The sequence below is a fragment of the Homo sapiens genome, chromosome 19 (assembly GCF_000001405.40).
Source record: "Homo sapiens chromosome 19, GRCh38.p14 Primary Assembly".
NCBI lineage: Eukaryota > Metazoa > Chordata > Mammalia > Primates > Hominidae > Homo > Homo sapiens.
The window spans coordinates 18,639,417-18,654,952 of record NC_000019.10 but is presented as its reverse complement, the minus strand read 5'-3'; the positions used below and the strand labels follow the sequence as shown (position 1 = coordinate 18,654,952).

At 54.2% G+C, this 15,536-nt stretch overlaps 1 protein-coding gene across 6 annotated transcripts in view, besides 3 other annotated features; it reads right to left on the bottom strand.

Annotated features, from left to right (window-relative positions):
* Positions 1 to 15,536, bottom strand: part of KLHL26 (kelch like family member 26) — a 34,694-nt gene that overhangs the window by 16,769 nt on the left and 2,389 nt on the right. The window contains exon 1 of one of the 6 annotated variants that reach the window (NM_001345983.2): positions 10,287 to 10,315. The exons of the other annotated variants lie outside the window; for them this stretch is intronic. The gene's annotated coding sequence lies outside the window, so the exon portion shown is untranslated. Of the gene's footprint in view, positions 1 to 10,286; positions 10,316 to 15,536 lie in introns of those variants that run through there. 6 annotated transcript variants of the gene reach the window in all.
* Positions 2,980 to 3,567: an enhancer, noted in NCBI's record as "H3K4me1 hESC enhancer chr19:18762196-18762783 (GRCh37/hg19 assembly coordinates)". NCBI's record gives its function as "activates a minimal SCP1, AML or CMV promoter by ChIP-STARR-seq in primed H9 embryonic stem cells {active_cell/tissue: H9 hESC(primed)}" and the evidence as "EXISTENCE:reporter gene assay evidence [ECO:0000049][PMID:30033119]".
* Positions 5,238 to 6,048: an enhancer, noted in NCBI's record as "H3K4me1 hESC enhancer chr19:18759715-18760525 (GRCh37/hg19 assembly coordinates)". NCBI's record gives its function as "activates a minimal SCP1, AML or CMV promoter by ChIP-STARR-seq in naive H9 embryonic stem cells {active_cell/tissue: H9 hESC(naive)}" and the evidence as "EXISTENCE:reporter gene assay evidence [ECO:0000049][PMID:30033119]".
* Positions 6,049 to 6,859: an enhancer, noted in NCBI's record as "H3K4me1 hESC enhancer chr19:18758904-18759714 (GRCh37/hg19 assembly coordinates)". NCBI's record gives its function as "activates a minimal SCP1, AML or CMV promoter by ChIP-STARR-seq in primed H9 embryonic stem cells {active_cell/tissue: H9 hESC(primed)}" and the evidence as "EXISTENCE:reporter gene assay evidence [ECO:0000049][PMID:30033119]".

Sequence of the window (15,536 nt, the reverse complement as noted above, 5' to 3'; positions counted from 1 at the left end):
GTTCTGGTGCTCACCGCCATGCCTAACATATGGTTGGAGCTCAGTCATGCTTGTCAACTGGATGGGTGGATGAGCAGTCAAATGAATGGACAGGTAGATGGATGGGTAAATGAGTGGGTGGATGGGCAAACGGTAGATAGACAGATGAATGGGTGGGTAGATGGGTGAATCGGTGAGTGGATGGGTAAATGGGCGGGTGAATGGATGGGTAAGTGGGTGGAGGGAGGGGTGAATGGATGAGTGGATGGATGGGTGGATAGATGGGTGGGTAGATGGATAGGTGGATGGGTGGATGAAAGGGTGCGTGGATGTATAGGTGAGTTAATGGATGGGTGGATGAACGGATGGACGGATGAATGGATGGGTGGATAGCTGGGTGGGTAGATGGATGGATGGGTGAATAAATGGATGAAAGGGTGGGTGGATGGGTGGACAGACAGGTGTGTAGGTTGGTGGATGGGTGGATGGATGGGTGGGCGGATGGTAGATGAGAGGATTGGTGGATGGTGGGTTGGTGGATGGATAGTGATAGGTGAGTAGATGGAAGGGTGGCTGGACGGGCAGGTGGATGGGTGGGCAGATGGTGGATGAGTGGGCAGATGGTGGATGAGTGGATTGGTGGATGGGTGGGTGGGTTGGTAGATGGATAGTGGTAGGCAGGTGGATGGGTAGATGGAAGGGTGCCTGGATGGGCAGTAGATGAGTTAATGGATGAGTGGATGGAAGGGCAGATGGATGGGTGACAGACAGAAGGGCAGATGGATGGGTGGGTGGGTAGGTGGGTGGGTGGGTGGATGAATGGGTGGGTGGATAGATGGAAGAGTGGGCAGGTGGATGGGTGGGTGGATGGAAGGGTGGCCTGATGAAAGGGTGGGTGGATGGCTGGATGGGTGGATGGATGGGTAGGTGGGTAGGTGGGTGGATGGATGGATGGAAGGGTGGGTGGATGGAAGAGTGGACTGATGGAAGCGTGGGTGGATGGGTGGATGGATGGGTGGGTGGGTGGACAGGTGGGTGGATGGAAGGGCAGGTGGATGGTGAGTGGATGGAAGGGTGGACTGATGGAAGGGTGGGTGGATGGGTGCATGGATAGGTGGGTGGGTAGATGAAAGGGTGGGTGTGTGGGTGGGTGGGTAGGTGGGTAGATGGAAGGGTGGGTGGGTGGATGGAAGGGTGGACTGATGGAAGGGCGGATGGATGGGTGGGTGGGTGGGTAGATGGAAGGGTGGGTGGGTGGGTGGGCAGGTGGGTAGATGGAAGGGTGGGTGGGTGGGTGGATGGAAGTGTGGACTGATGGAAGGGTGGGTGGACGGGTGGATGGATGGGTGGGTGGGTGAAGGGTGGGTGGGTGCCTAGGTGGGTAGATGGTAGGGTGGATGGGTGGGTGCATGGAAGGGTAGACTGATGGAAGGGTGGGTGGATGGGTGGATGGATGGGTGGGTGGGTAGATGGAAGGGTGGGTGGCATGGGTAGGTGGGTGGATGGAAGGGCAGGTGGATGGGTGGGTGGATGGAAGGGTGGACTGATGAAAAGATGGGTGGATAGGGGCAGGTGGGTGGGTGGGCGGATGGGTGGGTGGGTGGTGGGGTGGATGGACAGGTGGAGGTATGGATGGTCAGGTGGGTGGGTGAACTGGTGGACATAGGTGTGAACAGGTGGGTAAGAAGGAGTGAGTGGGTGGCAGATAGATGAATGGTGGATGAAGGGTGGGTGGATAGATGGACAGATAAATCCACATCTTTGTGCTGGGCCGGCCCTGAAGAGCCCCTGTCTTGCTCTTCCTGCTGTTTAGCTCCACATGCATCCTCCAGGCTCAGGCAGAGCCTTGGTGAGCAGTCTCAGCCCTCTGAGCCTCAGTCTCCCCATCTGCATCATGGTGATGATCATAGGACCCACCCACTTGGGACCATGAAAAGGCCAAAAAGCACCTGTGCACTGGCCAAAGAAGGTCTCTGCTGGCCATACCTAGTGTCCCTCTGCCTCTTGTTTACTGTGTGGCCTTGGATGAGCCCCTGAACCTCTCTGTGCCTCAACTTCCCCATCTGTAAAATGGGATGATAGCCGTGCCCCTTTTCTAGGCTGCCTGCCGACAACGGAGCCAGGAACCAGAACTGCACCACCCCAGTTGATGGCCTTATACAAAGTGGGTGCTCCCTTGGTTCGTGGAGGCTGTTCTGATGGGGACGCCCCAACACTGTGGTCCAGGTACAAGCCAGGATGGGAGGGGTGCTGTGGAGGCAGAGAGCTTGCTGCTGGCCAGGGAGGTGGGGTTTGAGGGTGAGTGAATGAGTGAGGTGGCAGGTGGATGGCTCCCAGGTGGCAGCACTGGGCTGGAGCCCAACTCTTTTTTTTTTTTTTTTTTTGAGATGGAGTCTGGCTCTGTCACTCAGGCTGGAGTGCAGTGGTGTGATCTCAGCTCTCTGCAACCTCCACCTCCCAGGTTCAAGTAATTCTCCTGCCTCAGCCTCCTGAGTAGCTGGGACTATAGGCGCCCACTACCACACCTAGCTAATTTTTGTATTTTTAATAGAGACGAGGTTTCATCACATTGACCAGGCTGGTCTCGAACTCTCGGCCTCAGGTGATCTGCCCGCCTCGGCCTCCCAAAGTGCTGGGATTACAGGCGGGAGCCACCGCACCTGGCCTGCTGGAGCCCAACTCTTATCTTAGCTCACTGCTTGTTCCTCCCCACAAGACCTCCTGGCCCGAGTCCTAGTGTATGTGATCCTTCAGGATCCACCGCGAAGCCCTCAGTGGGACTCTCCTGCACATCCTGTCTCTGGACCTTTGCTCATGTTGTGCTCTGTGCTGAGTGGCCAACCCTCTTGCCCTCAGACCCTTCTCCCTCCACCACACTCCTGAGCCCACCAGCATTTCTGCACTCAGCACCTCTGCTGCCTCCACCCCAGAGCCTTCTCTGCCATGGCTTTCCTCACCCTCATGGCCCAGCTGGGTCCCCATCCAGGGCTGACGAGTGGGCAGGTCTCGGCCTGAGGCTTCCCTTTCCCATTCCCTCCCACTGAGGTGAGACTGCTTCTGCCACAGCCCATCCCCCGACTTGGTCCCACTGCATTGGGCCGGCAGCAGGGACCACTTGAATGAGCAAATCCCTTCACTCCACAGTTCAGGCAAGTAGGTACATGACTGCACAGCTCCAGAGCACCGCTTGGAAACCCAGTGAAATTCTAGCACTGCTGAATTCTAGCATGTCGGGGTGGTAACGTGCTGCAAGGCAGCCCACCCCACTGCCTCCACTGGCAGGACAGGTGTTGAAGCCCCAGAAGGGACGGGGCTGCCACATGGCACTGCTCATCCCCAGCAGAGCCAGGCCAGATGCAGGCACTCCACAGCTTAGCCCAGCACCTTCCAAAGACAACACAAATTTCAGCATCAGAGGGGGTCTGTCATGAATATCTTCATTTTTGGGGTGTTTACCATCCCTCCCCTCTTCTCATAAGGGCCCCCTGTTCTCCTCTGGAACCTCCTCTTCTCTATGCTCAGCCCCAGTGGTGGAGATCAGGCAGATCCCATTGCTGGGCTGAAAATATGGATGTGACACAGACTGGACAGAGGCTCCAGGGCCCCTGGCCATAGGGATTCATCCTGGGATGGGGACTTGGCCCTTCTGATCCAATCAGAGCCTTCCCTGGGATTTTTACTGGAGCCACCAGGATGAAGGGTCGCCTTCCTGGTGGTGTTGGCAGGCTAGTGGAGTGGCAAGGTGAGGTCCCCTTTCTACCAGGTGGGCAGCACCCAGACAAGAGGGATGACAGAGCTGAAAGAAGGGAGCCACAGATTCCAGCCTTCAGACCTTGCACCCCAACGTACCTAAAACCGGGTGTCTCCTTGCACTTTTTAAAATGTGAACTTCGAGTCTTTAACTGACGGCAGTATCTTGGGTTTCTGGCTCTCCCCACCAAGAGGGGCCTCGGATGTCAGGAGGCTCAGATCCAGCCACGGCATTCCAGACGAGCCTCTGGAAAAACCACTGTGGCCTTAACACTTTTCCAGCTGCCGCCTCTCCCTGCAGTGCACACCAGCTTCCTACCGGGGCTGAGGGGTCAGGAAGCCCCGCTGAGGGCCATTCTGAGGGCGAGTGGGCGGCGGCCATCCCCAGCCGCAGCCCCGCCTGTCTGTGACGAGACAGACGGCTCCACTCCGTCCGCCACGACTCCCAGAAAAGGTCAGCAAGCTGCCCGCGCCCCTGACCAATGCGAAAGTTCAGCAACTCTAAATGCTAACAGACTGGAGGCGTGACTGAGGCTGGAACGGCAAAGGGGCCCGGTGCCATCAGCCTTGGCGAGGAAAACATCACCCGTCATCTGTGCAAGTGACTCACGTGGAGTATAAACATTTGTGCGCTCCTGACCCCCCGCTTCACACGACAGAGAGCCACGAGGACCCGAGGAGGGGGAGCCAGAGGAGAGACCTAGCGCAGCCCTCCTGGGACAGGACGGACTTCACCAAGGAGAACGCGTGCTTCCAACTCGAACTTCAGTCCTGGAAGTTTTTCAGATAGAGGATGACTCAGGCTGATGGCAACAGAGAGGGTGTCTTGGGGGTCCTCTGTGGGGCTCCCCTACGTGTCTGTCATCTCACAGTCACCTTGACACTCCTTCCACCCCGCTCCGGGAAAATGTCCCGCTCTCAGACGATCTGGGTGATCACATGCCTCTCTGCTCTGCCTCCTTAGGCAGACTGCCTCAAATTCTAACATCCCGTGGAGAGCAGAACTCTCCGGATATCCAGCCCAGACCGCTCCCGCCCGGGTCCGTCTTTGACCCCTGTGGAATTTCACAGTTGTGGCGTCAGTAAACATCTTCGGCCTCGATCCTCGGGTGACCCCCCTCCAGGCCTTTACAAGCCTGAAGGTCCACCCCTCAAGATCTCCTCCAGGCCCAGCCTGTTCAATTCCGGAAGCCCTTGCCCTCGCAGGAAAGGTCTGTGATTCCCCCAAGGTGCTGGTTACTTCCTCCCAGATCACAATATTTTCAGTGTGCACCGTGGTGGTGCACACAGAGCGATCAGGCACTCCGCTGCGCAGTGAGGGGTCTGAAATCACGCTGGACATGCACCAAAATCCACTCTGCAGAGGAGGAATGCTAGGGAATTGCTGGCGCAGCCGTTGGAGACGAGTCCTGTGAATTCTGTGCGGCCCTCTCCGGAGAGACATGTGGAAGGGGCGGGGTGGGGGGCAGGAAGGGACTGGAGGCTGGGGTTAACAAGTGTTAAGAGAGCTGGTCCGCACAGCTGCAGAGCGGCTACCAGAGGAGGAGGGCGGGGCTGCCGGCAGCGGGAACCCAGCGGGCTTGGCCCCCACTTCCACTTCAGACAGCTGGACAGGGAGAGAGCGGCTGTCGTTTGCCGCCTTTGCTTTAACATGCAGGGCTGAGGTTTTGCTCACTCACTAAAGACAGCACACGCAAAACGGTATGGTGCCCTGGGCTCTGTAACAGGTAACAGGGCTGGTTTACTGACAACATGCCTGTGAATTTCTGCTTCTCCGCCCACACCCTGCTGGTTCAATGAAGTGAAGAGGAAGAGGCGGATGACCCTCGGCCAGCCTGGGCATGCAGAGCTATGCCAGGAGGCTTCCCCTCTGGTATGCATCGAAGACTGTTCGGGGTGGGGTACTCACTGGATCTACACTCAAAAGCATCCATCCCGTGCCAGTAGCTGTGCCAGCGCCAGGACCACCACTGTAAAAAGATCTGATAAAGCCCTGCCCTTGGGGAACGTACATTCTACAGGGACATGGGTCCTCAAGCAGAGAATGTACCATGACGACAGGGCGAGCAGTGGCGCCACGGTGGACACAGTGGCCAGGCCCCGAGGAGACAACACTTGAGCCGTGCAAATCACTGGGACAGGACATTCCAGTGAGCGTGCTTCAGAGCCCAGCAGAGCCGTCAGAGCTGCGGAAGCTCAGGGGCCCAGCGGGTCACATCAAGAAGTAGATTTTGTTCTGAGAGTGAGGGAGCCACTGGCAGGTGGCCGGCAGGGGAGTGAGGTGGTCTGATTCCTGCCTTAGGAGGGTCCCGCTGGCTGGAGTTGGGGATGATGCCCAGAAGGGGAAGAGCCAGGAGTGGCTCTGAGCTGGGATGGGGAGGAGAGAGCAGGAGGAGCTGGCTCCAGGCTGTGGCTCGAAGGTGGAACCCACAAGAGATGCTACCTGAGGACCTCCTGGGCAGCTGCAGCCAGACTGAGGCCTTCTCTCAGGAGGAGGGACATTCCCAGGACTGGGACCTGCTGGTGGGAAGACCTGAAGCCCTCAAGGACTGTGGGAGCTCCAAGTGGCACGAACCCTGAGCAAGGAGAGGCATGAAGGGCTTTTCTGGAACACAGGAAGGGCTGCGAATCCCCTAGGCCAGGTGGCGCCTCCAAGTCTGCTGCTTGTTGCAGGCAGTGCAGCCGCGCGGGACCAAGGACAACCCTGACCTTCAGCCTGCCCGGTGGGGAGGGCAGAAACTGGCCACCACTATCAGTCAGCACAAGCTCAACCTCCAGGCATCCCCAAGCCTGCGTGTGCCTCTCCATCCCTCCAGGGCCCACCTTGGCCGAGGGTCCCTTGTCTCTTGCCAGAGGGATCCTTTCTTTTTTGAGACAGAGTCTCACTTTGTCGCCCAGGCTGGAGTGCAGTGGTGCAATCTCGGCTCCTGGGTTCAATCGACTCTCGTGCCTCAGCCTCCAGAGCAGCTGGGACTACAAGCACCCGCCACTGCGCCCAGCTAGTTTTGTGTATTTTTAGTAGAGACTGGATCTCACTATGTTGCCCAGGCTGGTCTCGAACTCCTGACCTCAAGTGATCTACCCGCCTTGGCCTCCCAATGTGCTGGGAATACAGGTGTGAGCCACCACACCCGGCCTACAGAGGGATCCTTTCAAAACAGGAGGCTGACTGATATGCCGCTCACCCAAACCCTGCCCTGGCCCCCTGGCCCAGCCAGCCCGGAAATGACCGCACGACGTTCTCTAACTCCTGCTGGCATGTATGCGCCCCATGGGCAGGGTCCATCTGTCCCATGGACCCTTCATGTCCAGCACCAGGCATGGGGTGGACACAGGAGACTGTGGCACCTGCACAAAGGCAGAGAAATGTGTCTAACAAATCCTGTCCACAGAGCAAAGAGCTGGGGATGCCGGGACACATGCTGCCCAGTCACCCCTTGCCTTCAGTAGATCCCACCCCCTTCTTCCAGGATCCAAGGCCCCAAGTCGCTGAATTATTTCTATCTGTGTCCTTCCCCCTCATCCTCCTCTCTCCCTCCCCATTCTCCTGTTCTTTTTCTCCTCCTCTCTCTTTCCTCCTCCTCCTCTCTTCCTCCTCCTCTTCCTCCTCTTTTTCTCCTCCTCCTCTTCCTCCTCCTCCCTCTCATCTCCTCCTCCTCTTCCTCCACTCTTCCTCCTCCTCCTCTCTTCCTCCTCCAGGGCCTCTTAACACCAAATCTAAAACATTCCCTAAAACCAAAGGGTAAGACACACACACACACACAAATATCAGAAAAAGGAAAAAACCAAAGGGCTGGAGTGAGGAGAAAGCCTCCCTTTTACAGTGTCTGAGGAGAGGTGGGTGAGATAAAAAGTAATCGCCGTGGGGGAGGTGGGATGACATTCGCAGGGGCTCCCTGGAGATGGTGCGATTATGGCGGAGGGTAATAAAGCCTTTCTTCCCCGGTAACTACGGACAACGACAAGGAGGCCGTCCCGGGGGTCACAGCTACCAGGTGGAAACAGTCCAGCTGTGACGATCGCACTGCACGATTCAGGTTGAAGTGAGTGCTTTCAGAGCAATTCCACTCCCAGAGCTCTTGGGACCTGCCGACAAGGAGGGGAGGAGAGGGTGGCCTCCTTCCCAGAGAAGGGGCTCAGCTGTGAGGGGCAGATCGAGTGGCCTGGATGTGGCTCGGCCTGTGGGCCAGTGCCCTTCTTGGGCTGGCCCAGTTCCACCTGCCCCCATCCCTGCTGAGACGCGCCACCCCCCGCCGCCCCTGCCCCCGCCCTGCCGAGCTCCTGCTCCCAGGCCTACTCCTGGCGGAACCTGCCCTCTCCAGCTCACGCTGGACGTGCTCTACTCTCTCGCTGCCCCTGCTGCTGTCCCTCTTACGGCCCAAGTCATGGCACTACTGTCTTCCCAATGGCTCAAGTTCACCCTCTCCTTTCCCTGCCTGACACACGCACGCCACATCAAGGCTTGCTGGCATTGACGATCCCCTCAAGGCCCATGCGGGCATGGCGGGCAGAAGGATGGCAGTGTCCCCATCATGGGCGTCAGCACTGCCACAGTAACACTGATGAGGTACATGTGACCTCTCCCCACTCGTTTCCTCCCAGACACCCCCCACCTGGTGGGCCTGGAGCCCCATTTCCCAGATGAGGAATCTGTCACAGCCACAACCCATAAAGAGGGAGCCACAGTCACCCATGGGTATGATGAGACACCTCATGCCGCCATATCTGACCACATTTTCCAGGAGAAGGACTTGAGTCCACGTCTTGGAAGGGTCAAAATCCTCCTTCTGAAAGGGGCATGAGGCCGGGCGCACTGGCTCATGCCTGTAATCCCAGCACTTTGGGAGGCCAAGGCAGGTGGATCACCTGAGGTCAGGAGTTCGAGACCAGCCTGGCCAACATGATGAAACCCCATCTCTCCTAAAAATACAAAAACTAGCCAGGCATGGTAGTGGGCGCCTGTAGTCCCAGCTACTTGGGAGGCTGAGGCAGGAGAATCACTTGAACCCAGAAGGCGGAGGTTGCAGTGAGCCAAAATCATGCCACTGCACTCCAGCCTGAGCTCAGAGTGACGTCAAAAAAAATTAATAATAATAAAAAAGAAAGGGGCAAGAGGCCAAAGGAATGAGAACTTCCCCAAAGTAGCAAGAACCTCCTTGGGAAGCCACCTCTTCCCCTAAGTCTTCCTAGCAGGAGCTGGGGGGCTGGACCCTTCCAAGGCCTCTGGGCTTGGTGGAGATGATCTAGATTGTGGAGAAAGCTTCAACAGGCAAAGGCCACCCAGCCAGACTGACTGTGACAAACCCACCGGGCGCAGCGTCTCGGCCACAACTTTCCATGCAAACACTTTCAGCAGGCAGCAAAGCCCCTGGGCACAACGTCCCAGCCATCACTTCTTTTTTTTTTTTTTTTGATACAGAGTCTCACTCTGTCGCTCAGGCTGGAGTGCAGTGGCAGGATCTCGGCTCATTGCAACCTCCTCCTCCCAGGTTCAAGCGATTCTCCTGCCTCAACCTCCAGAGTTGCTGGGATTAAAGACGCCCACCACCACACCTGACTAATTTTTGTATTTTTAGTAGAGAGGGGGTTTCACTATGTTGGCCAGGCTGGTCTCAAACTCTGGACCTTGTAATCTGCCTGCCTTGGGCTCCCAAAGTGCTGGGATTACAGGAGTGAGCCAAAGCACCCAGCCTAGCCACCACTTCTTATGCAAATGCCTGAAGCTGGCACATCCCTCACCCAGATCCCCCCACCTCACCCCCAGGAACAGCATGACTCAGTGAGCCTGGGCCCTACCCAGGCGTCTCCAGGGAGCGTGGGCCAAAAAGCGTGGATGCCAAAGGCCCATGTCGGAGAGGCTGCAAGGCCAGAAGGTTCCTCCAAAACTCTGCCGGTCAGGTACCTCACAGTGACAGAATTTTAGCTGGGGAGGTGCGACTCCCCAGAGGGTTTGCCTCCCCTTGCGACACCCCAAGTGGCCCAAGCCTCCTTTCCCTCCAAGGAGTCTAGACCCCGCGGCCCGAGCTGGGAGGAGGCCAGCTGGTGAACAAGTGTCCTTTGTGCTTGCAGCAAGGACCCCACCTCCTCTCCGCACACCCCAGCCAGGGCAGCCCCACTCTGTCCATCCCTGAGGTTCGGCTCAGTCATTAATGACCACCTCTACTAGGCAACGGGTTTTTTGTTGATCCCTCGAGATAGGAAGGAAGGAGAATAAGCTTTTCTCTTTCTTTTTTCCCCCTCGGTTGCAGAAGACAGAAGTTGGAACAAACAAGTTATATAACGTTGGGGGCGGTCGGGGGTGGGGGAGCGCAGTCCCTCCTGGGGACAGTTTCTTGAGTTGTGGTACCGCTGGAAGGGCCAGGGGGAAGACAGGAACTGCCCCCGCCCCTGGCCAAAAGACAAAACCTTCGTGGGACAAAAAGGCAGATGCGGGCGTTGCCTGGCAGGCTAGAAAGGCAGCTAGAGACTAAGGCCAGCCCCCACTGCCCCCCAGCAGCCCCACAAGCCTCACTGGAAAGGCAAAAGATCGACCTGATCCCATAGAAGGGAATTCCTACCTGCCAGACTGCAAGCCTCAGAGAGCAATAAGCTTTTGCACACCCCCATCCCTCCCTTCCTCCCTCTCAGCCACGTCTCTGGGACACTTCCTCCTTCTGTGTCATTCATGTTCCAGGCACACAAGAGGGCACAAGAGAGACAGGCTTTCCAACCTCAAGGCACCAGAGAAACACAACAAATAACGTTAGGTGGTGACCAGCATGATCAAGAATATACAACAAGCATGCGCCCCAGCAATTCTGCTCCTAGATGTGTACCCCAAAGGACTGAACATGAGTGTTTAGACAAAAATGTGTACACTCATGTTCATAGCAGCATGATTCATAATAGCCAAAAGGTGGAACCAATCTAAGTGTCCATCAACAGATGAATGGATGATGTGGTGCATCCACACAGTGGAATATTACTCAGCCATAAAAAGGAATGAAGTGCTGATTTAGGCTACAACATGCATGACCCCCAAAGCATCATGCTGAGTGAAAGAAGCCAGACTCAAAAGGCCACATAGTGCATGATTCTACCTATAAAACTTGAAAACGGATAGAGACAGACTGCAGATTGGTGATTGTCAGGGGCTGGGCAATGGAGAATAGGGGGTTAGTGCTAATGAAGATGGGGTCACCTTTTGCGGGGACAAAGATGTTTTGGAACTGGACAGCAGTGATGGTTGCACAATTCTGTGAATGTACTAAATGCCACTGAATTGTTCACTTAAAGTGGGTGAATTTTGTGTTACATATATAGTACCTCAAAAACAAAAAACAAAAATACAGGTTGGGCATAGTGGTTCATGCTTGTAATCCCAGCACTTCGGGAGGCTATGGCAGGAAGATCACTTGAGCCCAGGAGTTCAAGACCAGCCTGGGCAACATAATCAGACCCCATCTTGGCCGGACACAGTGGCTCATGCCTGTAATCGCAGCACTTTAGGAGGCCAAGGTGGGCGGATAACCTGAGGTCAGGAGTTCGAGACCAGCCTGACCAAGATGGAGAAACCGCATCTCTACTAAAAATACAAAATTAGCCAGGCATGGTGGCACATGTCTGTAATCTCAGCTACTCGGGAGGCTGAGGCAGGAGAATCGCTTGAACCCAGGAGGCGGATGTTTTGGTGAACCGAGATCATGCCATTGCACTATAGCCTGGACAACAAGAGCAAAACTCTATCTCAAAAAAAAATAATAATAAGACCCCATCTCTATAAAATAATATATATATTTTTTAAGACAGTCTGGTTCTCTCGCCCAGGTGGGAGCGCAGTGGAGCGATCTCAGCTCACTGCAACCTCTGCCTCCCGGGTTCAAGTGATTCTCTTGCCTCAGCCTCCCGAGTAGCTGGGATTACAGGCACGTGCCACCAATCCTGGCTAATTTTTGTATTTTTAGTAGAGAAGCGGTTTCACCATGTTGGCTAGGCTGGTCTCAAACTCCTGACCTCAAGTGATCTGCCCACCTCGGCCTCCCAAAGTCCTAGGATTACAGGCATGAGCCACCGCGCCCGGCCCAAAACAATTTTTAAAAATTAGTCAGGTGTGGGCTAGGCACAGTGGCTCACGCCTGTAATCCCAACACTTTGGGAGGCCAAGGCAGGTGGATCACGAGGTCAGGAGATCAAGACCACCCTGGCCAACATGGTGAAACCCCGTCTCTATTAAAAATACAAAAATTATTTGGGCGTGGTGGCGTGCACTGGTAATCCCAGCTACTCAGGAGGCTGAGGCAGGAGAATCGCTTAAACCCAGGAGGTGGAGGTTGCAGTGAGTCCAGATTGTGCCACTGCACTCTAGCCTGGGCGACAGAATGAGACAATGTCTCAAAAAAAAAAAAATTAGGTGTGTTAGTAGATGCCTGTAGTCCCAGCTACTCGGGAGGCTGAAGCAGAAGGATAGCTTGAGCCCAGGAGGTCAAGAAGGCTGCAGGTAGCTACGACACTGCATGCCAGCATGGGCGACAGAGTGAGACTCTTCCTCAAACCAAACCAAACAAACAAACAAAAAACCACAAGCCGGGCGCAGTGGCTCACGCCTGTAATCCCAGCACTTTGGGAGGCCCAGGCAGGCAGATCACCTGAGGTCAGGAGTTCCAGACCAGCCTGGCCAACATGGAGAAACCCCACCTCTACTAAAAATACAAAATTAGCCAGGCTTGGTGGCAGGCGCCCGTAATCCCAGCTACTCGGGAGGCTGAGGTAAGAGAATCAGTTGCTTGAGCCCGGGAGGTGGAGGTTGCAGTGACCATGCCACTGCACTCCAGCCTGGGCAACAAAAGCGAAACTCCATCTCAAACACACACACACACACACACACACACACACACACACACACACACTAGGTGACTAGCAAAAGTGTCCTGGGGACTACTTGAGCTTGCATGGTCAGGCAGGTGGCTCTGAGGGGCCAGAACCTTGGAGAGTGGAAGGATGAAGAGGAAGGAGACGTGGGCAGGTTGAGGCGAGGAGGTGGGTCGTGCTCCAGGCCTGGCTGTCCCATTTGCAATAAATGAAGGAACAGACGAACAATGCTACAAAGACTCAATGTCTCAAAATGACTTTTGGGAGAATGTCTTGTACCAATCTCCCTCAAAATATGATCCATTTTCTGCATGCTCCATCTTGCCACATTAGGGGTTCTCCCCACACTAGCACCTGAGGCATGAGATGCCCCTATCAGTTGCTCCAAACAGTGATTTTTCACTAGGATGGAGGATAGGGGAGAATGACAAAGATGTCTTTTAAGAAAGAGGGCCGGGCATGGTGGCTCACGCCGTAATCCCAGCACTTTGGGAGGCTGAGGCGGGCAGATCACAAGGTCAAGAGATCGAGACCAGCCTGACCAACATGGAGAAACCCCGTCTCTACTAAAAATACAAAAATTAGCCGGGTGTGGTGGCACACGCCTGTAATCCCAGCTACTCGGGAGGCTGGGGCAGGAGAATTGCTTGAACCTGGGAGGCAGAGGTTGCAGTGAGCCAAGATCACGCCACTGCACTCTAGCCTGGGCAACAGAGCAAGCCTCCATCTCAAAAAAAAAAAAAAGAAAAAAGAAAAAGAGCCGGGTGTGGTGGCTCATGCCTCTAATCCCAGCACTTTGGGAGCCTGAGGCAGGCAGATCACCTGAGGTCAGGAGTTTGAGACCAGTCTAGCCAACATGGTGAAACCCCGTCTCCACTAAAAATACAAAAATTAGCCGGGTGTGGTAGCATGCACCTGTAATCCCAGCTACTCGGGAGGCTGAGACATGAAAATCGCTTGAACCCAAGAGGTGGAGGTTACAATGAGCTAGGATCGCACCACTGCACTCCAGCCTGGGCAACAAAGCGAGACTCAGTCTTAAAAAAAAAAAAAAAAAAAAGGCAACCCAACTTAAAAATGGCCCAAACATTTGAAAAGACACGTTACCAAAGAGATGAATAGCTAAGAAGCTCATGAAAAACTGTCCAACATCATTAGTTATTAGAGAAATGCAAATTAAAACCAAAATAAGACTGGGAACAGTGGTGTGCACACCTGTAATCCCACTTATTCCAGAGGCTGAGGCCCGAAGATTGCTTGAACCCAGGAGTTCCAGGGTGCAGTGAGCTAGGATCGCACCATCGCACTCCAGCCTGGGCGACAGAGTGAGACCTCATCTCACAAATAAATAAATAAATAAAAACACCAAATGAAGACACCAGCACACACCTATAAGAATGGCTAAAACTAAGGACTGGCCATACCAGGTGTTAGTGAGGATGAGGAGGAGCTGGAACTCTTGAACATTGCTGGTGGGGATGCAAAATGGTACAGCCACTTTGGGAACAAGCTTGGCAGTTTCCTAAAAATTAAAACATGGCCAGTCTCAGTGGCTCACACCTGTAATCCCAGCACTTTGGGAGGCCGAAGCAGGCGGATCCCCTGAGGTCAGGAGTTCAAGACCAGTCTGGCCAACATGGCAAAACCCCGTCTCTACTAAAAATACAAAAATTAGCTGAGTGTGGTGGCGCATCCTTACAATCCCAGCTACTCAGGAGGCTGAAGCAGGAGAATCACTTGAACCCAGGAGACAGAGGTTGCAGTGAACAACTGCTGGGCAACAGAGAGAGACTCCATCTCAAAAAAAAAAAAAAAAAAAAAAAAATTAAAACATAGCCAGGCGTAGTGGCTCACACCTGTAATCCCAGCACTTTGGGAGGCAGAGGTGGGAAGATTGCTTGAGCCCTGGAATTCAAGACCAGCCTGGGCAACATGGCAAGACTTTGTCTCAACAAAAGCACAGAAAAAATAGCTGGGTGTGGTGGCATACGCCCTTGTAGTACCTACCAGCTACTTGGAAGGCTGAGGTGGGAGGATCACCTGAGCCCAAGGAGGTAGAGGCTACAGTAAGCCGTGATTGCACCACTGCACTTCAGCCTGGGCAACAGAGTGAGACCCTGTCTCAAAAAAAAAGAAATTTAAACACATCTACCATATGAACTAGTCATTCTACTCTTAAGTATTTACCCAAGAGGATGAAAATATACGTCCACACAGAGACACATATCCAGATGTTCACAGCAACTTTATTTGCAGTTGTCAAAATGGAAACAACCCAACAGTCCATCAACCAGTTAATGGATAAACAAACTGTGTCCGTCCATACGAGATTGTATGGACGGACACAGTTTGTTTATTTTCACTCCACAGTGAAAAAGAACAAATTTCTGATACAACAACACAGATGAACTTCAAAAACATTATGTTAAGGAAAGAAACCAGACGTAAAGGCCACATGTCTGATTCCATTCTTACGAAATTTCTAGAAAAGGCAAAGCTACAGAGAGTGAAAGCAGATCAGGATGTCCCCGGGGCTGTATGTTGGTGGAGCAGGGTTAATTGCAGACGAGCTTGGGGGAACTCTTTGGGGTGATGGAAGCATTCCAAAAAACTGGATTGTGGTGAAGGATGCACAACTCAGTAAATGTACTGAAACTTAATGACCTGGGTTGAGCACAGTGGTTCACACCTGTAATCCCAGCACTTTGGGAGGCTGAAGCGGGCAGATCACTTGAGGTCAGCAGTTCAAGATCACCCTGGCCAACATGGCAAAACCCCGTCTCTACTAAAAATACAAAAATTAGCTGGGCATGGTAGCATGCACCTGTGGTCTCAGCTACTCGGGAGGCTGAGGCAGGAGAATTGCTTGAACCCAGGAGGCAAAGGTTGCAGTGAGCCGAGATCACACTACTGCACTCCAGCCTGGGCAACAGAGTAACTCTATCTCAAAAAAAAAAAAA